At 38.8% G+C, this 22,860-nt stretch overlaps 2 protein-coding genes across 4 annotated transcripts in view, besides 1 other annotated feature; both read right to left on the bottom strand.

Moving 5' to 3' along the window:
• SPESP1-NOX5 (SPESP1-NOX5 readthrough) overlaps nucleotides 1-16,753 on the bottom strand; it is a 132,238-nt gene extending 115,485 nt beyond the window's left edge. For all 3 annotated transcript variants that reach the window (NR_033671.3, NR_033672.2, NM_001184780.2), the window contains exon 1: nucleotides 16,561-16,753. Coding sequence is in view for 1 of the 3 variants with exons in the window: in NM_001184780.2 (NP_001171709.1) it covers nucleotides 16,561-16,589 (29 nt within the window). In the remaining 2 variants the exon portion in view is untranslated. The remainder of the gene's footprint in view (nucleotides 1-16,560) is intronic.
• SPESP1 (sperm equatorial segment protein 1) lies at nucleotides 467-16,753 on the bottom strand. Its single transcript, NM_145658.4, has 2 exons — nucleotides 16,561-16,753; nucleotides 467-1,679 (listed from the first exon to the last, which is right to left on the bottom strand). Exons 1-2 carry the CDS (start codon nucleotides 16,622-16,624, stop codon nucleotides 691-693), a joined length of 1,053 nt encoding a protein of 350 aa, NP_663633.1. The 5' UTR covers nucleotides 16,625-16,753; the 3' UTR covers nucleotides 467-690.
• Nucleotides 19,877-20,077: a silencer, noted in NCBI's record as "peak2374 fragment used in MPRA reporter construct". NCBI's record gives its function as "represses an SCP1 promoter by STARR-seq MPRAs in K562 erythroleukemia cells {active_cell/tissue: K562}" and the evidence as "EXISTENCE:reporter gene assay evidence [ECO:0000049][PMID:32103011]".

The following is a 22,860-nucleotide window of genomic DNA, read 5'->3' as shown; positions in this document are numbered from 1 at the left end:
GGGTGGATTGCCTAAGGTCAGGAGTTTGAGACCAGCCTGGCCAACATGGTGAAACCCCGTCTCTACTAAAAATATAAAAATTAGCCAAGCGTGGTCATGGGTGCCTGTAATCCCAGCTACTCAGGAGGCTGAGGCAGGAGAATCACTTGAACCCGGGAGGCAGAGGTTGCAGTGAGCCAAGATCGCACCACTGCACTCGAGCCTGCGTGACAGACTGAGACTCTGTCTCAAAAAAAAAAAAGACAACTCAGATTATCTGAAAGAATAAGAAAGACCATATGCCCCAAAATTTTACACTGTATGTCTATAGAATTATTTTATTTAAAACTAGCTATAGAGTGAGAGAGAGCACAGTCTCTTAACTCATAAAATGAATGAATTTAACTAATCTATTCAAGTAAAATCAAAGCTTAAACATCGTAAAGGTCTTCACAACATTTAAAATTAATGAGAAAAAACTACAAACTCCTGAACCAAAATTTTATTTTAAATTAGGTTTTTAGTGCATATGAAAATTGTTCATAACACATGACACATAAAGATGTTGGCACATTTGAACTACAATAGAAAATATTTTTATACAACTTTTGAAATTACGAATATGATTATTTCTCCTGTGAAAAAATGCAGTTTGCTTAAATCAGCTTTGTTATGGAATATCAAGTAGGTTTAAAATTTTTATATTATTGTTTAATAAACTTTTAATAAGGCTGTGACTCTCCTTGATCTACACATATTTTTTAATGTATTGAATACTGTAGCAGCTTTTTCTCTCATCTCTGGTGGAACACATTTAATATCTAAATATTCATAGAGTTTAGATCTAGAATTACACAGCATGTTAATAACAGTTTCGATGTCATCAATTTTATTACTTGTTCGTCCTACTGGCAATAACTGGGACTTATACATTGTTTTTAATTTATGTTCTGCTGCTGCTGCTAGAGCAAGGCTTCGTTTTAGGTGATCTTTAGAGGCTTCAATATCTTCTCTATATGCTGGGTTGCTGGTGTCACTAAGAAGTGCCTGTTGCACTTGTGAATTAATATCTAAAATTTTTTTCAAAATGTCATCATTATTCCAACTCTCTGGGTGCTTTCCAAACTCTTCGGGTTTTTCTATCGCAGTTTCACCTGAGAGCTGAGGAACATCTTCTGATTCTGTAGAGATCCCAATGCCAGTGCTCTTATCTAAAGTGGTGACAGGTGACTTGTATGAGGTAACATATGGACTTGTAGATGATTCAGTAACAACTGGCAACATTCTTGGTGCCTCAGTTTGTTTTGCAGCTGGCTCCGGCTCTGGCTCTGGCTCTTCATTTTCAATATAAGGTTCCTCTGCATGCAAAACAATGGAAACATTGTTTGGTTTGATCGACCAGAATGGGGTACTTTCCGTGTGTTTTTTCTTTCCTATTTCCGGTGTGAAGCCTCCTGTAGGGAAAGTTGTAGTTTCTTCACTGATAGGATTGGTTAAAACATCATTCTCAGTTGAAGCGTCTCCATGTGTAACTAGCTCCTTAAATTTTGATCCCTTTGATGCTATAGAATAAACATGTTTTGGAGAGTTAGATTTTTTCTCACGACCTGGCTCCCCAGAGGGAACACTTCGTACTAGGTTCTCTAAAACTTGTATATAATGATTCAAGTTTTGCTCTTCATCAGGTGTCACAGTTATGCCTTCAGGGAAAAAATCAAATAAATAATAAGTAACATTTATTATTATATATGACACACTGACAGAATCTACTGACCAAAATTTATTTCATATGCTATCACTTAAAAATTGAAATAAAGAACCAATATGCAAAGCACCTTTGACACAGAGTCAACTTTCACTTAAATAAACAAAATTATTTCTTCAGGTTCTTATTAAAACAGTTGAGCAAGATTAGTGCAAAAGTTGCATATTAACACCATTCTCTCTATATTTTTGCTTTTATTCTCCCATATAACTTATGATTCAACAGGCAACTTATTAAACGAAAATTCTTGATTATGTCCTCTAACACAGTGGTGTGCTGGAGTAGGCTTATACTGGTTGACTAGAGCCCATTGTTAAATTTTTATGAATTTTGTGAGCCAGATGTTAAACACAGACATTATTTAACAATTAACTTATCTACATTTACAATCAAATAAATTATATTAAAAGCAAAGGTAATAAATATCCCAAACTCATCACTTTCTAATTATTTTACTATTTTCTATGCTTGTGAGGTTATTTACATCTAGTGTATCTGTATGATGAAAATGCATATAATGGTGTGCTACTGTGCATCTCTACCTCCCTGCTCAGTGATGTCAACTTGGTAGTTTGAAATCAACCATGGTTGGAGTATCTACGCCATGTAAATGAGCAAATGCTACAAATCAGAGTTTCCTCCTCTCTCCGAAAAGCCAGTTTTAAATATTTACCAGTATACTACTGCCTTCAACCCAACAAAGATCTAACTATAGTCTGTGACTCATATCCACTCAACTGTTTTAGTAAGTAACGTTTTATTGGAACCCAATGAGTCTTGCCTATTTGTTTGTGTATTATCTACAGGTGCTTTTGCCTGCAACACTAGAGTAATTGTAAGAGACCACATGGCCTGCAAAGCTGAAAATACTATATTACCCTTTACAGAAAAAGTTTGTGAGTTCCTGGTCTAAATCATCAGCATTTCACTCTTAACAACAAAATGGTAGTTCTACTTCATGAACCGCTGGCAGCACCTTCCTTCTCCTCACCTGCCCCCGGATCAAAAATATATATATATTCTTGACTAAAGTCTAGTCAGGAAATATTTCCTGTCTTTTATTTTAAGCATCAAATTGTTTTAGTTGACTTAAAAAAGAAAAAATACAGAAAAGACAAAAAAAGCCCAAGGGTATTGTTGGGGCGTCTATCTAATGTGGAGAGTCTTTTTTTGAGGGGTCTCCTAAAATAAAATATTTTGATAAGCAAAAAAAAAAAAAAAAGGTAGTTCTATTTATACTCCTATTTTGCAGCATCTGAGCAGTAAAGCCTCTCATTTCCAACGTGGAGAACAGAAAAGATAGTAAGATATTAAGATATTCTGGAATTCTGTTCAACTACTCCTGAACCAGGGTATTTTAATTTTAAGTGCTATGGTTTTTTACCATGGGCAATTTTAAGGTTTGCCATTTTCAAGTATACAAATTGATTTAATTCAGGGAAGTAAATCACTTTTTACCAAACACTAATGCATTACGCCTACCTGAACCATCCCCCTGCAGGCTAAATAAAGTAAACTTTCTGTTCAGGAGGCACTTTTATTTAGCTTTTTGGTAAGCACAAAATACTCAAAAACTGCTTTGTATTTACATGTTTCTCCTCTCTTCTTTATTCTGTTACAACTTAGAAAGACCAGATCGACGTTTAATCAAAATTGAAGGCATATTTCTAAATCTTAAAAAATTCTTTTTTTTTTTGAGTTTTAAGGAGGCCAGCTTTATTTACTAGAAGCACCATTTGTAATTAGCATTAACAGTTTTACAAAATCTCTTTCGTACTGCTAGCATATTCCTACTTTATTCACAGAGAGTATAAACCTTTAACAGTGGCCAGAATAGATTGGTTTTGAACAGAACAGCCATCAGAAAAGAGCCCCAAACAAAATGAACCCCCAAAAACTGTAAAATCAGGGGGTGGCTGCTTGAGGTGGAAGTTCTGCATTTACGCCCAATGAGAAAACAGATATAATTTATATTAACCCATTTCACCTCAAAAACAGATGCTGATCAATGAAATTACACTAGATTCCACAGCTGATTATTAAAAAATTCTTAATGAGAACAGTTTAGTGAGCCAATGTGGTTAGTGGAAAGATACCACACGTCTGGAGGTCTTGATTCTAAAAGTAAATTCTGCATTTTATGTAATGCTTAGAAAAACCTTGTATACTCCTAAGATCCATATGATGATGATAAGTGAAAAAGAAAGCATAAAACATAGAGTTTGATGTTATCCTTATAATACTTTTTAAAAATCACTCACATAGTATCATATATTTTGTCTGTGAACTGCAGATTTTTTTAATGGACTGTAATGATAATGTACTAAACTCATATGGGCAGTTGCCTCTAAGGAGAGGCAGTGGGACTCAATTTGGTCAGTAGAGGAGACTTTAGACTTTAACTATAATGTTTTACTCACTAAACACACACACATACACACACACACACACACACACACCAATCATTTAATATAGTAAACCATTATAAGTCACATTTATTTTTTTAAGTTTCAAGAATTTTTTCTCCTTTATTTTTTAATGGCAAACCAAAATTGTATAAAAATCACATTTTAAAAAGGAAAATAACTTATTTATGTAAACTCATAAAATGCATTGTCCTGAATCAGAGTCTTCATGAAGGAAAATAATTGAGTAAAATGAATATGCCTTGTGCAGTGAAAATAAAATATTTGATCCTGGTCCTGGCTCTACCAATTTATAGCAGCATGACCTTAGGTAATTATTTAACTTATCTGGATATTCACTTAACTATAAAGCTAAGATACTACACTTGCCTTTTTATCTCACTGAACCAAATAAATTAGATATTTTAAAACACTTTCAAAGCTACAGATCACTAATAAGATATTATTCTTTATAAAGGTAACTGCTTACATTTCTCATTTTAAATATAAATTTCCCTTAAAATTATATAGAAAAACATGTTCCCTAAAAAGAACATTAAAATATACTTTGTATCTTATTTAGTGGGAAACAGTAGAAGCTTTTCCACTAAAGACAGGAACAAGATAAGAATACCTAATATCTTCATTACTGTTAATATTTAACATCATGTTGGAGATACTAGTCAATGCAATTAGATGAGGGAAAATAATTGGAGACATAAGAATTGGACAGAAAGAGGTAAAACTATGTTTACATACAGATGATAGAATTATAAATACAGATAACACAAAAGAATCCATTGAAAAGCTACTACAATTAGTAAGAGAATTTCATAAATAGCAAGTCATAAAAATCAATATACCAAAATGAATATATAAATATAAACTGCTTAGAAGATATAAGAAATAAGCACTCCAGCCTGGGCGACAGAGCGAGACTCCGTCTCAAAAAAAAAAAAGAAATAAGATGTTGTTTACATAACAGAAAAAATGAAACAAAATATTGGCTGTGTGCAGTGATTCACACCTGTAATCCCAGCACTTTGAGAGGCCGAGGCAGGTGGATGGCTTGAGCCCAGGGGTTCGAGACCAGCCTGGGAAACATGGTGAAACCCCAACTGTATAAAAGTACAAGAATTAGCTGGGCATGGTGGCACATACCTGTATTCCCAGCTAGTGGGAAGGCTGAAGTGAAAGGATTGCTTGAGCCTAGGGAGGCTGAGGCTGCAGTGAGCCATGATCTTTCCACTGTACTGCAGCCTGGCATTATATATATACATAACCATAAAATATTAAAAACATGCCAAAATCAATATGAAGAGTTATAGTAGGCTAAATAATGAATATTCAAAGATATCACCCTAGAACCTGTAAATATTACCTTAAGAAAGAAGTGTCTTTGCAGATGTGGTTAAATTAAGTTTCTTGACATGGGGCAATTATTCTGGATTACCTGGGTGGACTCTAAATCCAGTCACAAATGTTCTTATAAGAGATAGACACAGAGAGATTTGACACACACCCAGAAGAGGAAGAGGTAATGTGGAGGAAGAGGCAGAGATTAGACTGATGTGGCCACAAGTCATGGAATGTAGGCAGCCACCAGAAACTAGAAGACGCAAGGAGCGTATTTTTCCCTTGAGTTTCCAGAAGGAGCATAGCCCAGTCTATGCCTTGATTTTGGCTCAGGGAAATGGATTCCAGACTTCTGGCCTCTAGAACTGTGAGAATAAATTTTTGCTGTTTTAAACCATCAAGTTTGTGGTAATTTGTTATAGGAGCTACAGTAAACTAATACAGGAATATAATAAAATCTTTTGAAAGACATAAATATCAACAAATAGAAAGCTATACCATGTTCTCAGATGAAAAGATTCAGCATCATAAAGATGCTTAGATGTCATATCCTCTCTTTTAATTTATACATTTAATATGTTTCTAAAAATGTCAATTTTTTTCTGGAGTTAGAAAATTTTATTATAAAGTTTATTTGGAAGAACAAATAAGAACAGCCAGGAAAACAAAGCCTAGCCTTATCAGATATTAAAATCAAATATTTAAATATATTATAAAGCCTCTATTATGAAAAATAGTATAGCATTGGCCATGAACAGATGAATGGAGCAGAACAGAAAATATAGAAATAGACCCAATTGCATATGGAAAAATAGCTCAAAAGGAAGAAAGGTTTCAATCTGTAAACTATTTCAGCTAATAATTAAAGAAGCCGTTTATAATTAAAATATGATCATTTTGCAATAATTTTCTATGGCTATGTATACCTAAAAAGGCAAAAAATCCGACGTTATGTATTTCTTGATGGAAGAACACAACACCACCTATGAAGTAGTCTTGCAAAAAAAAAAAAAAAAGTCAAATCTGAATCCAGTAGGTCTCCCTAGATATAACTAACAATATACAGAAAATATATAGGACAATAAGGGAAATATTAAACTACACCATGGGGGTGTAATCAGCAAAACCTAGACTGTGAAAAACTAAAGGATGTATGACCCAGTTTCTTCAACAATTAAATTGCAAGGGAAAAAACAGAGATGGAGGAAGAACTATAGATTAAAAGAGAATTAACAGGTATATCAATAAGTTACATGTATAAATCTTACTTGAATTCTGATTCTATCAAACTGGAAAAAGAGAAAGACAATCAGAAACACTAACCAGATATTTGATAATATTAAGGAATTATTTTTATAAGTAAAAAATTACATTGTTTTGTGTTTTGTAAAGTCCTTATATTTTAGTGCTTCATGCTGAAGTATTTGCTGATAAAATTATAGGATGTCTAGAATTCGCTTCTACATAATCCAAGCCCGAGAAATTGGGGAGAGTGTCCAGGGAAGTGAGAGGAAAAGGAATGTGGGTAGAGCTATCAATGAAATAGGATTAATCATGAATTAATAATAACTAAAGCTAGAAATCACCACTAAAGAACTTACCCATGTAACCAAAAACCACCTGTTCCCCAAAAACTACTGAAATGCTAATAATAGTAATAATAACTGAAGCTATTATAAATATGTGGAGATTATGTAATTCTTTGTACTTGTGTACATATTTAAATTTTTCCGTAATAAAATGTTTTTTTAATCTGAAAAAGATTTTAATTCTGAGCAACTATAATAAGTAAATCTAAAATGTAAAACCAACAAAGGTTTCAACGCTTTTAGAAAGACATTGCCATTAGATTATAGGCTGCTAAACACTTGCTTTTCAACCATTTAGCTTGCCTCTTCTCAAAGTAGTAAATAAGATACCCAGGTGGATATTAGGTGAGTTAGAGTGCCAAAGGACAGGAAAAGGAGATACTTACTACTAGCTGATTCCTTAACAAACTGAAATATTTATTATCCCCTTCTATTGTTACTCAGGCAACACCCAAAAGCCTGTTCTTGGCTGCCTAGCAACAGAGTGCACTACCTCCTACCTCGATTTTCCTCTGTTCTTCATGTACCCTTGGCTCCATATTTTTCTATTGTTAATTCCATCCTCTCTCCACACACCTTCTACCTCCTGCTTTTGTCCCCTAAAACATCTCCCTATTTCATGTTGACCTTCTCAGTTCTACTAATCAGGTCTGCTCTTGCAAATCAATTTGATCTTTATAAAAATGTTTGTAGGTCAAGGTAGTAAAAGATAGTGGAGCCTCAACTGTCCCTACAGATGGCTGTGGCCACTGTGAAAACCTGTTTTTCTCCATTCTTCAGGAGGTGCTAGAAAGCTGAACAAAATTCAAATTCTTACAAGGAACAGACAATCTTGCTAGAAGTTGTGTTATTATACTTGGATATTCATAGTCTACACTGGTATACTTTATAATATCCCATCTATTTTTACCAGTAAGTGATTAAAGCAAACATGGCAATGTCCTAGAACATGGCTCTGGCCCAGGTAAGAATCTTCAGCTTGGGAAACCATGATGCTGCTCTCCAGTTCCTCTTATAAGCAGGATGGCTAACTGCTAAGCAGGCTTGAGATTTTGCTGGAATCTCAGATATGGGGCCTGAAGGTGAGCCTGAGGTTGCCTGCACTTCTCTTCTTGAAATAGTACAGGAAGAACTGTCACACAACAGAAATGGTAAGAAAGTAAACAAAATGGTACTAAATAACTGTAGGAACAAAAGTGGTAGGAAATCCAAAGGGGAAATGGAAGATAATGATTTAAAAGATCCTAATAGCTTCCACTGATTGAATGATCACTATGTGCCAGGCACTATACCCAGAGCTTTGACTGTGAGAAGTACTTTGTCAAAGAAGAAAAGGAAGAGACTTAGAAAGGATAAGCAATTTGCTTAAGATTATATTCAACTTATAAGTAAGGATGAGATTTGAACACAGGCTGCCTTACTTCAAAGCAGGTGCTTGTAACAACCACACAATGTTGTCATAAAGAAATGACACAAGGATGCTGGCAAAGCTGTATTAGTGTTGTGATAAAATTATTCTGCAGGGATACTACTCTGTTTTAAAATACATGTGAACATTAAATAAAATCAAATAAATAAATATAGTATCCGAAATTGTGCTGTCAACTGGACCAAAATATTTTAAACTACATGTAAATATTAAAATTAAATTAAATTAAATATGACCAAATTTTGTTCTATCATCAAATGGACCAAAATGCATCCCTTTCGCATATTAAGATGTATCTAGTAATATTGAAAATAATCCAAATACAGTATTTTCTTACTACAAAGTACAAGTAACTGACAATCAATGACTTACAAAAAAATACATCCCGTTCACACAGAAATAAAAGGCAAGTTAATTACTTTTGAGTTTATTATGAGGAAAATAATAAAATCATGATTTAAAATGAGCAATGAAATATAAAATTTCAGGCTGCGCTTGGTGGCCCACGCCTGTAATCTCAGCACTTTGGGTGGGTCAACTAAGGTCAGGAGTTCGAGACCAGCCTGGCCAACATGGTGAAATCTCATCTCTACTAAAAATACAAAAATTAACTGGGCATGGTGACATGCACCTGTAGTCCCAGCTACTCTCGAGGCTGAGGCAGGAGAATCGCTTGAACCCAGGAGGCAGAGGTTGCAGTAAGCCAAGGTTGTGCCATTGCACTCCAGCCTGGGGGACAAGAGTGAAACTCCATTTCAAAAAAATAAAATAAAATAATAGATAAATAAATAAAATTTAAAACTTCACTCAATAAATAATACATGTGAAATATATTTCCTTTTCATAGAATGACCAATTAAAGGAGGAAGAGAATAACATAAAAGCCAATTTGCATGAAAACTTGCTAAAATTCATTGTTCATAAAAGATATGCAAATTAAAAACAATTTTTGTTTTGCCAGTCAAGTAGGCAAATATTTTTAAATGATAAAACCTAGGACTGGCATGTGTATATGTTACTTCCTTAGTAAAATAAGTTCCCTCCTACCCAGAGAGGAGAACAATAAAACCCATTTCCCATATCCCCTATACCCCAGCCCCTGGAGAACACACACCACCGCCTGTTGGTGGGTGGGGGGTGAGGGGAGGGAACTTAAAGGATGGGCCAATAGATGCAGCAAACCACCATGGCACACGTATGCCTATGTAAGAAACTGCACGTTCTACACATGGATCCTGTTTTTTTTTTAGAAGAAATAAAGAAAAAAAATAATAAGTTCCATCCTTACTCCCCTTTTGATCCCTAGATCCTTCTTTAGTCTCTCTCTAGCATACTGATCTTTTCTTTATAGAATTTAGACAGTTCTAACTGTATTTGTTAGTTTAATATTTGTTAACTGTTACACTTAGTAAGCTCTTTGAGAGCTGTGACACATCTAATTTGTTCATTATATACTCTGTTTTACCCAGTGCCTAGAACCATACTAGACAGTCAAAAAGTATGAATAACTGAATGAATGAACAGAATGCTGGAAGGTATGTAAATTAATTGCACTTCTAGTAATTTATCTTACTAAGATAATCACAGGTAAAACATTTCTACAGAAGAATACAGAGGAAGAAAACTAGACTTCATGTTATGTTTAAAAATAAATCTGTTAGTCTAAAAACTATTGTGTGGGGAGCAGTTTCTGGCTAATTGTCCAATAATTATTACAGAGAAAATTTTAAATGAGTAATAAGAATGTTCTTTTATTTTAGGCAAAGTAAGCAGTTTTTTATAATAAAAGACACAGCTTACTACGTCTTTCTAAATTTCTAAGTGTGAAGTTTATATAAAATAACATCATAAACATCATGGTGAAATAGCTCCATTTCTCAGAGAGCCCCCATACTTCTTGTAACTGCCCCTTACTAAATAGCCTAATGTAAGTTTAGATCACATAAACTTATGTTCTACTAATTACCTTTCATTGAATTTTATCAATCTCTAAAGTAATACTGCATTGACATAATTTTAATGTAAGTAAATCACAATCTTAATATTAAAATACCTCCATAATTTACCTTTTATTTATCTTAAAGTATGAAATTCAATGGTTTTCAGTATGTCCAGAGTGGTGCAATCACCACCACAATCTAAGTTTAAAACAGTTTTGTCATCCCACAGTAAAATCCATTTCCCATATCCCTTATCCCCCAGACCCTGGACAACCACTAATCTACTTTCTGTAGCTACGCATTTGCCTATGCTAGACATTTCATATAAATGGACTCATACGATATGTGTCCTTTTGTGAGTGGCTTCTTATACTTAGCGTAATGTCTTCAAGATCATCTATGTTGTAGCATGTATCGGTACTTCATTGATTTTTATGGCCAAATAATATTTCATTGTGTAGATACACATACATTTCTACTTTGCCCTTGGCCAGTAGCCTTGATATGGCAACTGCTGATTGCACCCAAAATTTAATCACCAATTATGGATGCTCATTTTGTTAAAGATTTGAATATAACTAGGATTTTTATTACAATGATAGTGAAAACAAAATGGCTTTATCCATAAAGAACTCATGTATATAAAACTTAAACATATACCCAAGCATCCATCACTTATAGATGGTCCACACACTCTGGCTGAATGTCCATAACTTTGGAGAACAAATTGCTTGTATTTTCTATACATACCATGAAGTGGACTCATAAAGAATAAACTTCCCTTATTCTACAGCAGTTAAGTACTAAAGTAAGAATTAATAACTGAAAGCTGTAATAATGCAAGAACTACCAGTTAAAATATCCAACACCTTCAAATTAAAATGAACTTTTATGAAGGTTAAAATTTTAAAACGAACTGAGCTGGAGTACTGTATTTCCAACTCAAAGTAGTAATAATTGTGCTTAATTACTGAGGTGTACTCAAGGAATGGTCATAAAAGGAAATATTAAATCTTCTTATTCATCCAGCAATTTTCTTATAATTTATTATTACACAAATCTTAATTTTTGCTGACAGGTAAATAAACAAGTAATTATGTTCATATTAATCAAGTGTTCCAGTTAAAGAAATGTAACTTTATGGCTTTACACTTCCTGCTATTCATGTTCTTGGGTAGTGTCTTCTGACATTGGATATGGGCTTGCCCCATGTGACTTGTCTTGGCCTATAGGACATTAGCAAGTCTGATACAGTGTAGGCTTCGTAAGAGCATCCATGTTGGGGCTTATAAATCTCCTTCTTGGAAGCAAGCTGCCATGGTGTAAAGAAACTTGGGCTAGAGTACTGAAAGATGAGAAGTCATGTAAAGACCCTGGAGGATGAGAGGCCATCTGGGATGTTCCTATCCATTTGAACTTCCAGCTGAATGCAGCTGCATGAGTGACCTCAGCTATACCATATGAAGCAGAGCTGCCCAGCTGAGTCTAGTGAACCCATAGAATCATGAAAAATGATAAATTTGGGGAGCAGTCATTTTTGCCACAATACACAACCAAAATAGCCTTATTAAATTATGTTACAATTCTAGTGCGGATAAAGAGTTAAAAATCAAGATGCATCCTATGAGTAATGTTATAATTGAAACCAAAATAAACTCATTATTTTAAATCTTTCTCTTCTAGTTCTGTTCACTAAAATGACAAAAATAACAATATTTCCCCACTGCAGTAGTCTAGTATGTATCGCAGGCACTTTGGTCTCTCATACCATGTTCTCCATCCCCTTGGAAAGACAGTTAATTCCATTCAGAGTGAGAAAGATAGAGTGGGAAAGACACAAAGTGGGCTTGGAACAATCAGTTAACATCAGAAAACAAGAAGTCTTTAAAAATATATGGGATCCTATCAAAAGAACAAGAGAAGACAGCTTACAATGGCTCCAAATGGTCAAGGTATGAATATTTGAGGCTCGGAAAAAACTATACTTAGGTTAAATAAATTGTGTGTTTTTAAAATGCTTCAAATATATAGTGATACTAAAAAAAAAAGAAAATATTTTCTTTTCAAATAACTAGTATTTTATTTGGAGATAAAAAATGTTGCTTAAGTTTAATTTCACATATATTATCAAGAGATTAAAGTATATCCATTTAAGGGATAATATGATCAACAGAACAGAAAGACAGGACTTTTTTCCCCCATAAAACATCAATGGACAGGCTAATGAAACTTCCTGCTACTCCCCCACAGAATACTCTCTTGACACTTGCCTATTGGATGACATGCTCCTCATTATCTCAAACATTAACAAAGTGTGTCATGACAGTTTATTCACAGGTTTGAGAGACCTTTTAAATGCTGTAGCCTTGGGCACTAGCTAAGTGAACTTGCAGCACCAGAACTCAGTGAACTTTACCTTTAGAATGTATTTGAAATAAAAGAATATTCTTTTCCTCTTAATTTATTTGGTGATAGATTCAAACAATTGTTGCTGGTTGCTGCCTTATTGTTTCCCTTACCTTCTGTGGTTCATTAGGACAAAATCCTTCCTAAACACAATGACAGAAGCCAAAGACTGATACATTGAGCCTTCTTATAATACCAATCTAGAAATAAGAGCTTTTGTAATCCTAGACTAACCCTATTTTTCCTAGTCTATACCAAGAGATGATCTAGAGGAAATAATTTATTTGGGAGATACCCCAAAATTAATATTTTAATTTTATTTATACTTATTATGCAAAGTTTGAATCATTTAAAAATTAACATATATTAATATTAAATTAATATTAACACACTTTAATTTTAATTAGTTTGCACTGCCAGCCCATGAATATTTGATGACTTAAAATTTAAAAAGGCCAATTATATAATTTTAATAGTAGTTGATATTATTTAAATATGTAACTATTATGTTAATATTACTTTAGAAGTTACTGTGCTTTTTTTTTTTTTTGAGACAAGGTCTCACTCTGTCAGCCAGGCTGGAATGCAGTGGCGCCATCTCAGCTCACTGCAACCTCTACCTCCTGGGCTCAGGTGATCCTCCCACCTCAGCCTCCCGAATAGCTGGGACTACAGGCCTGCCCCACCACATCTGGCTAATTTTTGTATTTTTTGTAAAGACGGGGTTTCGCCATGTTGCCCAGCCTGGTCTTGAATTTCTGGGCTCAGGTGATCTGCCCGCCTCAGCCTCCCAAAGTGCTGGGATTACAGGTGTAAGACACCGTGCCCGGCCTGTGCATTTTTTTTTTTTTAAAGCAAAAAGAATTCTCATTAAAAAGTAAAGTAAGTTGCACAGTGCAAATACATTAAAGAGGGAATACATTAAATACTTTCCCATTCAAAAATTTAAAAATGGCAAAGTATTTAAAACTATGGAAAAATCAGGTAGAGGAAACTGAATGTATAAAAATTTTATATAGTAAAACGTTGTTTCTCCAGCACCATCAGGATGTGTGTGTGTGTATGTAAAGGAGTGCCGACTTCTGTATACCCAAGCTGCATTTATGTCTAACTGAATTTAGATTAAACAAATACTAGCTAAGCTTGGATTGGGCCTGTTAGAAAGGTATAGGCAGATACAAGAAGTACTGAGGTTTTCAATAAATGCAATTACTTAATACACCCGTGATGTTTGCGTAATAACCTCAAAACTGTCTAGTAGTCTAGAAAAAATGTGTCAAAGCTGCACTTTTCATTATAAAAACCTATGTACCTTATCTTTTGCATCTCGCCAACAATTGTTTGAATAGTGGCCATATAAAAGAATGCATAGCTGATTTACATCAAGCTCAATGATATACGCATTTTGGTATACTTATTTTAAAAACAAAATTAAAATTAGAGAAAAAGTAGAGAGACAGATACAGAGAAAGCAGCCATGTACCACTGCCTGCTCTATATATTCCTTAATCCACTTCTGTAGAAGAAAGGTAATTACATATTCCAAGACATCTTCTATGATTACAACCTGTATATAGTTTCCTTATGTCTTATAACATCTATATATTCAACACAAAATCACTCCTTTTTTCTGGGAAGCGTCTTTTCATTTCCTACAACCCTTTTCTTTCTTCCCAAGAAAGATTAGGGAATAGGGTGCTAAGAAAGACAACAGGCTGGCTGGGCACAGTGGCTCAAGCCTGTAATCCCAGCACTTTGCAAGGCCGAGGCGGATGGATCATTTGAGGTCAGGAGCTCGAGACCAGCCTGGCCAACATGGTGAAACCCCGTCTCTACTAGAAATACAAAAATTAGCCAGGCGGTAGTGGCGTGCGCCTATAATCCCAGCTACTCAGGAGGCTGAGGTGGGAGAATCCCTCGAGCCTGGGAGGCAGAGGTTGCGGTGAGCCGAGATCGGGCCACTGCACTCTAGTCTGAGCTAGAGAGTGAGACCCTGTCTCAGGCAAAAAAAAAAGGGGGGGAAAAGGGAAGGGGAGGGGGAGGGGAAAATTATGGTGTTAGGCAAGAGACTGCACTGAGTTAAGTGGGTGTCCAGGGACTCCTACCTAGCAGTCCCAGAGTGTACTGTGTGACAGTGTTAAAGTCACTTCAGTTAAAGTCTCCATATATGTTAGTCACTTGTGACTTGCTGATCTACAACTACCAAAATGCAATAACTGGTGTTAGTAATAATGATCATCAGACATCAAGAAAAGATAGTAGCATCTTCATTATGTTCTGGTCCTCTATGTCAAGGAAGAAAAATTTTACAAAACTTTTTATTAAAAACAGCTACAAATCATAAATGCTAGTATTTAAAGAGCTAACTTTAGTTACCTAGAACTTCATCTAGAACTTTTCCCATTACTATTCATAATTTAGATTGTGTTGTATTTTCAGTTTTTAAATTTGATTTTTAACTAAGATCGTTTAGCAATTCTGAAAAATAGATTTGCATAATCAGCATGCACGATAGCGCTTTTTTTACACCTGTTAAATTGTATTTATTGATTTAAGTGAAACCAAACTCCAACATTACTAAATGCCACAATGAACTACAGTTAGACTAAATGGGGAAGCCTCACCTACCTGACTTAAATACTAAGTGCCTTAAGGTGCCCACATGATATTGTTAATATAGTAAAGTCTTAGCACCCCTGAATTTGACCTTATTGGTTTTCAGCTTTCGGGGAGGGACAAAAATTGCTCCTTGGCAGGTCTTAAGTTATAATCCTGCTTAACTAAGGCTTTGAATGCCGTGTGCGCAAGCATGCTCTCTGGGAGCGCATCCTCAGGTGAGTGTCCCAGACCGCGACCCACAATCCACATGCTCTCCAAATTTTACCGTACGGGTCAACCTTTTTTTCTGTACAGGGCCAGAGAGTAAATACTTCAGTCTTTGCAGACCAGACTGTGTGGCAACCACTTAACCCCGTTGTTCTAACGTGGGAAAGCAGCCATGGGCAATACGTAAAGGAATGAGCGTGGTGGTGTGCCAGTAAAACTTTATTCACGAACAATGAAATGTGAGCGTCATGCTTTTCCACAAGTCATGAAAGAGTACATTTCATATTTACTTTGAAAATGCAAAAATAGAACATCACACACCAGGGCCTGCCGTGGGGTGGGGGGAGGGGGGAGGGATAGCATTAGGAGATATACCTAATGTAAATGACAAGTTATGGGTGCAGCACACCAATATGGCACATGGATACATATGTAACAAACCTGCACGCTGTGCACATGTACCCTAGAACTTAAAGTATAATAATTAAAAAAAAAGGAAGAAAATGTAAAAATCATTCCTAGCTGGCCAGCAGCTGTCACACGACCCCTGCACGGTCACACGCCCAATGGCTGGGGAAGGATCGGGTGGGCAGAGGAAGGCCTCCGGTGAGGTGAGGGGGTTCCACCCGCGCCCACGGCCCGCAGGCGCTTCCCGTCTCATCTGGGCCGCGCCGCCTCAGTTGCTGCGTTCCCTGACCAGGAGAGGAGAGGGACACCCCTCGGCGTCGAGGCCAGGACCCCGGACAGTGGGGGAGGGAGGCATGTAGGACCAGGGAGAAGGAAGGGCCAGGCTTCGAGGTCGCGGAGCTCGGGAAGTTCCCCCAGGGTGTCCCCGGTCCGCTGCCTCCTCAGGCCCGTCACTCACTCGGATAAGCCGGCACAGACGAAGGCCATAGCAAAAGCGCAACTAGAAGGACTAAGGGCTTCATAGGCGTCGTCCGTAGCACTCTGCCATGCGACCGGAACGTCCTGGGGCCACCAGGCTGGGAACCTCAAGGCCGAAAGGGAAGGTGTCAGCGGAGTACCGTCCTGCCTCAGGCCCTGGGACACCCAGCAACGGTTGTCCCCAGCGCGCAAGCGCAGCGGCATGGGGGAGGGGAGAGCGAGCGGCCAAGGCCCGCCCCTCCTGGGACCGCGTGCAGGGGGCGGGGGATCGCGCGCGCCCCGCCCCGCCCCTTCCTAGTGCGCATGCTCGCTCCGCCTTCGTAGGTCCGCGCCTGGTGTGGGCTGGGAACGCCTCGACGCCCGGCTACTGCGTGCGGGGTGCTGCCTCGGGGCGTGCGGGGCTCGGCCCATCCTGCGCGGTAGGGATACCGCCGTGGTTTAAACGCGGTCCCTGTGAGGAAGGAACTGTAATGGGAGAGGCAGATAACCTGGCAATTACCACAGCGTGAAAGGGGGCTGTAGTGGGGGAAGCGCTAGGTACTGTTGTGCACAGTGGAAACCCACCCCCGGAAGCGGGTGGGGAGCTTGGCTAAGTGGAGGACAGCTTGGAGCACCCCAAGAACTGAGCATAGTTCCGGCGAGTTGCATTGTGGGGCTTGGGAGGGCAGTTGTTGGAGGACAGGGAGGAGAGGTAGGCAAGGGCATTAAAAACGCCCTAAGGGGCTTGGGTGTTTTTGTTTTTCAAAAGATCACATTCCATTTCTTTGACCTTCTTAAAAAGATAGGGGTAGGGATGAGGGAGAGTACGACTATGAAAGGATAGCATGAGGTTGTTTTGGGGACTAATAGATGGCAGTGGCCACAAGAATCTATACATGTGTTAAAATTCACAGAAGGCCGGGCACGGTGGCTCACTCCTGTAATCCCAGCACTTTGGGAGGCCGAGGTGGGCGGACCACCTGAGGTCAGGAGTTCGAGACCAGCCTGACCAACATAGTGAAACTTCGTGGCTACTAAAAATACAAAATTAGCCAGGCGTGGGTGGTGGCACACGCCTGTAGTCCCAGCTACTTGGGAGACTGAGGCAGGAGAATCACTTGAACCCGGGAAGCAGAGGTTGCAGTGAGCCGAGATCGTGCCACTGCACTCCAGCCTGGGCGACAGAGCAAGACTCCACCTCAAAAAAATAAATAAAAATAAAAATTCGCAGAACTGCACATCCCAAAGAATCTGTTTTTCTGTATGGTTATTTTTAAAAATTCACGTACACTCATCTCTGCCTCAGGAAGCAAGGGGCTTGGATTTTAGTCTGAGGCACCAGTACTAGAGTACTGCTAGGTTTTGAGCTGGGAACGGTTGTGATTAGATTTGTATTCCAGAAAACTCACTCTTCCTGTAGCATGAAGAATGGACTGGAGGGAAGCAAGACTAGAGGCGCCGGCGGAAACTGAGACTGCGCACGGCGCTTGCGGGCCAGCCCGAGTTCCGGGTGGGCGTGGGCTCGGCGGGCTCGGTGGGCCCGGCACTCAGCGCGGCCGGCCGTCCCCGCTGGCCACGGGCAGTTGGGGGGAGCTTAGCACCTGGGCCAGGAGCTGCTGTGCTCGATTTCTCGCCAGGCCTTAGCTGCCTCCCCGCAGGGCAGGGCTCGGGACCTGCAGCCTGCCATGCCTGAGCCTCCCTGAGGAGCGCCGCTCCCTGCTCCACGGCGCCCAGTCCCATCGACCGCCCAAGGGCTGAGGAGTGCGGGCGCAGGGCCGGGGACTGGCAGGCAGCTCCACCTGCGCCTGGGTGTGGGATCCACTGGGTGAAGCCAGCTGGGCTCCTGAGTCTGGTGGGGACTTGGAGAACCTTTATGTCTAGCTAAGGGATTGTGAATGCACCAATGGGCACTCTGTGTCTAGCTCAAGGTTTGTAAATGCACCAATCAGCACCCCGTGTCTAGCTAATCTAGTGGGGACTTGGAGAACTTTTGTGTCTAGCTCAGGGATTGTAAATGCACCAATCAGCACCCTGTCAAAACGGACCAATCAGCTCTCTGTAAAGTGAACCAATCAGCAGGATGTGGGTGGGGCCAGATAAGGGAATAAAAGCAGGCTGCCCGAGCCAGCAGTAGTAACCCTATGGAGTCTCTTTCTGTCGTGTGGAAGGTTTGTTCTTTCGCTTTTTGCAATAACTCTTGCTGCTGTTTACTCTGGGCCCACACTGCCTTTATAAGCTGTAACACTCGCTGCGAAGGTCTGCCGCTTCACTCCTGAAGCCAGTGAGACCACGAACCCACCGGGATGAATGAACAACTCAGATGGGCCACCATAAGAGCTGTAACACTCACCATGAGGGTCTACAGCTTCACTCCTGGTCCAGCTAGACCACGAATCCACCAGAAGGAAGAAACTCCAAACACATCCGAACATCAGAAGGAACAAATTCCGGACATGCTGCCTTTAAGAACTGTGACACTCACCACGAGGATCCACGGCTTCATTCTTTAAGTTAGACCAAGAACCCACCAATTCCGGACACATGTTGAGGAACCAATGTCTCCAGCCAACAGCCAGTAAGGACCTGAGGCCTGACAACAATCAGGTGAGTGAACTTGGTAATAGATTCTCCCCAGGTGAGCCTGGAGTTGACCACAGCCCGGCTGACATCTTGATTGTAGCTGCCTGAGAAACCCAGAGATGGAGGCACCCAGCTAAGCCACGCTTAGATTCCTGACTCACAGAAACTGTAAGACAGTAAGTGCTTGTTAAATGGAGGAGGAGAAAGCATTTGCGTAAGCAATAGCTACATACAAGGGTCTCTGTTGATTTGTTCCTTGAAAGAGACCATGCTTGGAAAGGCACCTGCAGTTGGGTACACTACTTAATTGAGTTAATAATTGTCAGTCATTCTTCCAGGTCCATCTGTTTTCATTACCAGTCAAGCTGGAAGGCAGGTATAAATTAAGATAATTGATTCAGATATTTTAGGGTGACACTATAGCTAGTCAACAAGGGATTGTTATAACTTGTGCATTACTATTTTGATTGGGGGTTGGAGAGTGTAATAAAGCTCTGTGGATTCTTCATAGTCTTTTCTATCTTGCTCACCCTTGTTCTAAAGGTTAGGAAACCAATGTGAAGATTCTGCCTTATGTCCTTTAAATGTACACTCAGGAATTGGGGAAAAAACACTGGAAGGGTTTAGGGTTCCATCGAACTTACTGTAAGGTGGACTTGGGTTAAAATTCCTTTAATTACTTCACCCCTGTAAACCCCACTCTAACCAGTGAACTACTGTGGCATACTGCGATTTTCCTTTTTTTTCAGTGCATATTTATCCCTAGATGATCACTGGTCCCTTTGGAGAAGGCTAGGAGTTAAGAATCACAGCACATACTTATCTCATTGTATTACTACTGAATTCGTCAAGGGTTTCCTGCTTTCCCTTCACTTAGGAGACTGGATTTGTGAAACACACTGCAGTTTGGGGATTGAATGAGGAACTGCAAGTGAGAGGTTCAAGTAGGATGTCTTTTAGGCCCAGAGTTGGAGTCGTTTTTCCCTTGTTTGGTTATAAAAACCCCAATAAGACTTTAGCAGTTTTCATCTTGTTAACCATTAAAAAGGAAACGGTGAAATAGCCAAGGTATATCCTAATTGTGGAATTCCAGTTTAAAAAAAAAAATGTTGTAGCTCTGTACTCCATGGTCTATGTGCTAACATATAAAATTCTCTAAAATATGGTGTTGAGTAAAAAAGTTCAGAAAAACACATATATCCACTTATGCAAAATTACACCAGTTACATATTTCCATGAATTCATCTGAAATCATTCTGGAAGGAAACACAGTAAGCTGATAATAGTGCTTACTTCCAGAAAGAGAAATGAGATTGGAGGAGAACAGGGGATTTTGAAGGGAGAATTTTGCTTTTTACTTTTTCTTATCCCTTGAATTTTTTGAAGCAAGATTACTCATGTAATTAAAAATAGAAACAGTAACTTTTTACAAAATCTAGTGAAGAAAGGAGGGCTAGTGGTAGAAATGTCTTATTATGCCTCATGTTTTCCTTTACTGACTTCACTGAAATATTTTTGAAGTGGCTAATTCACTACCCAGAGAAAAGTAGCCTGCATTTCTGCTTCACCTCTGGATTCTGTAGACTGTTTTGATAGGTAATCAAACAGTATCATTTACTGTTATGACTTTTTTTCAGGGATGTATTTTATCTCCCCTTTATAGTTGTTTTTATGCTGTCTATTTTACACAACACCTTGCTGGTGCTCAATAAAGACTTAATAAATAGCAACACATGCTCTTCCAACCTAAAGGAAAAGAATCCTTCCCCACTTTCCCCCACCCTCTTCCCCTAGAGCTGTCAAAATTCTGTTTCAAGGCTCAAATGCCACATCTGCTGGGAATCTCCCCTCCATCATCCCTCCAGTTAGAATGTATCATATCTTCCCTATCCCATATTTTCATAATGCTGTATTGTAGCCATTATTTCACCATAAATTCTGTATTTTATGTTTTTACAAGCCAGGCTTCTCTAGACCAAGGTCTTTGAGGGAAGGAATCTGATCTGAGTTATCCCTGCATCACAACCTCCTAAAACCCAGCCAAAGTAGTGTGCATTCATCAGGTGCTCAATAAATGCATATTTGAGTTCAATTGAAATCAAAAGACTGGGAATTTTTATAGAATCTTAAAAAGATCGCTGGGAATCTTGTAGAATTTTTACAGACCCTTAAAAAGAGCTAACAATACTAACCCAGCTACAGTGACAACTTCCAGCACAATCTTCAATCTCCAGAAGAAACTCCTCATCTCGAAGTGTCTTAACTCTATTATTTAAGTCCAGGTGAAACGAATAACAGGTGGTCTCATCTGTTCTTCTCTCTGTATATCATGCAAGTAATTCTAGACAATAAATTCCTGATTGTGAAACCACTATGTCAAAATAAATGTACCAGTTTGCATATCCATCAATAGTATAGTAACTAATACTGAGTGGCATCATCTTTGAAGACCAGTCACGTCAAGTGCCATATCTTGTTTTAACCTGTTTGACTTTGTTTTTCAGTGTAGCAAAGTGTTCTGCCTACTCTCCCTGTTCCCACCTTGGATTTTCCCTGTATTCCTTCTAGTATACATCTAACCCCACACTTACTGTTTTTTATTCTTTCTCCTGTTAACCCAAGTGATGAGTTAATAGGCTATGGGTTAGCCAGAGCTATATTTGTCTCCCTAGAAGAAGTATATTTGGGAAGTCCCTCCCCTCTTATCTTAGGTCACTTCCTTAATCCTTTCTTACCCCGCCCACCCCACCCCCCTCCCCGCCCCGTCCCGCCCCGCCCCATTCTCCTGGGACCAATGCACTGAGCAGCTAGGACCACAGCTCTAGCTTAATTAACACCAATGCAGTTTTTTACATCTCAGATCTCAAACATCATGTCTTAACAGCTCTTGGCCCCATGTGTGGAAAAATAGTTGAAATTAAATACTATTAAATGAATGAATACCCCAATCCCTCCATGCATTTATCCATCCATCCAACTATTCATACATCCACTCTGCCCTTGTAAAAATCACTGTAACATTATCAGCATGAGAGCACCGGCAGCTTTGTCAGAGAAGGACTTCAGCCACCCGGGGGCAGTAGAGCCTCACCAGTGGCTGGGATGGCACTTGTGGTTACATCAGAGCATCTCTCCAGCTGTGACTCTAGAAACTGAATTTTGATTTTGCTGCAGTAGATCATGTTTTGCTATTGTGTGTTTTGCTTTACTCTCATGCACTTGGAACGTACCAAATAGCATGTAATAATGTTTAAGTGATTTAATAGTAATAGCCTTTGTTTTCCAAAGAAGATTTTCTTCAGTGCCGGCTACGTAGAAGAATGTTACATCCAGTCTTTTCTCTGACAAAGCTAGTCCACATGCAGTTACATTATAGATAGTCCTTGGCTGAAATCAATTCATGAAATGAGACCTGGGAGCACACAGAAGAAGCAGGCTGACCCTTGGGAATGCCCACTGTCTGCACGATCTGCCCCACCTGATGTAGGCAATATACACTTTTTAAATTTTTTAAAAATTGTATTTTTTTAACTTTTATTTTATATTCGGGGGCACATGTGCAGGTTTGTTACATAGGTAAACTCGTGTCATGGGAGTTTGTTGTATACATTATTTTATCACCCAGATACTAAGCCTGACATCTGGGCCCTGAATAGGCTCTGTGGGATGTTTTTGATTAATAAATGGATGGCAGAGGAATCCTGGAGTGTAGATGGTGATC

This window comes from Homo sapiens, chromosome 15 (assembly GCF_000001405.40).
Source record: "Homo sapiens chromosome 15, GRCh38.p14 Primary Assembly".
Lineage (NCBI taxonomy): Eukaryota > Metazoa > Chordata > Mammalia > Primates > Hominidae > Homo > Homo sapiens.
The sequence above is the reverse complement of the archived record's forward strand: the minus strand, read 5'-3'. Positions and strand labels throughout refer to the sequence as shown.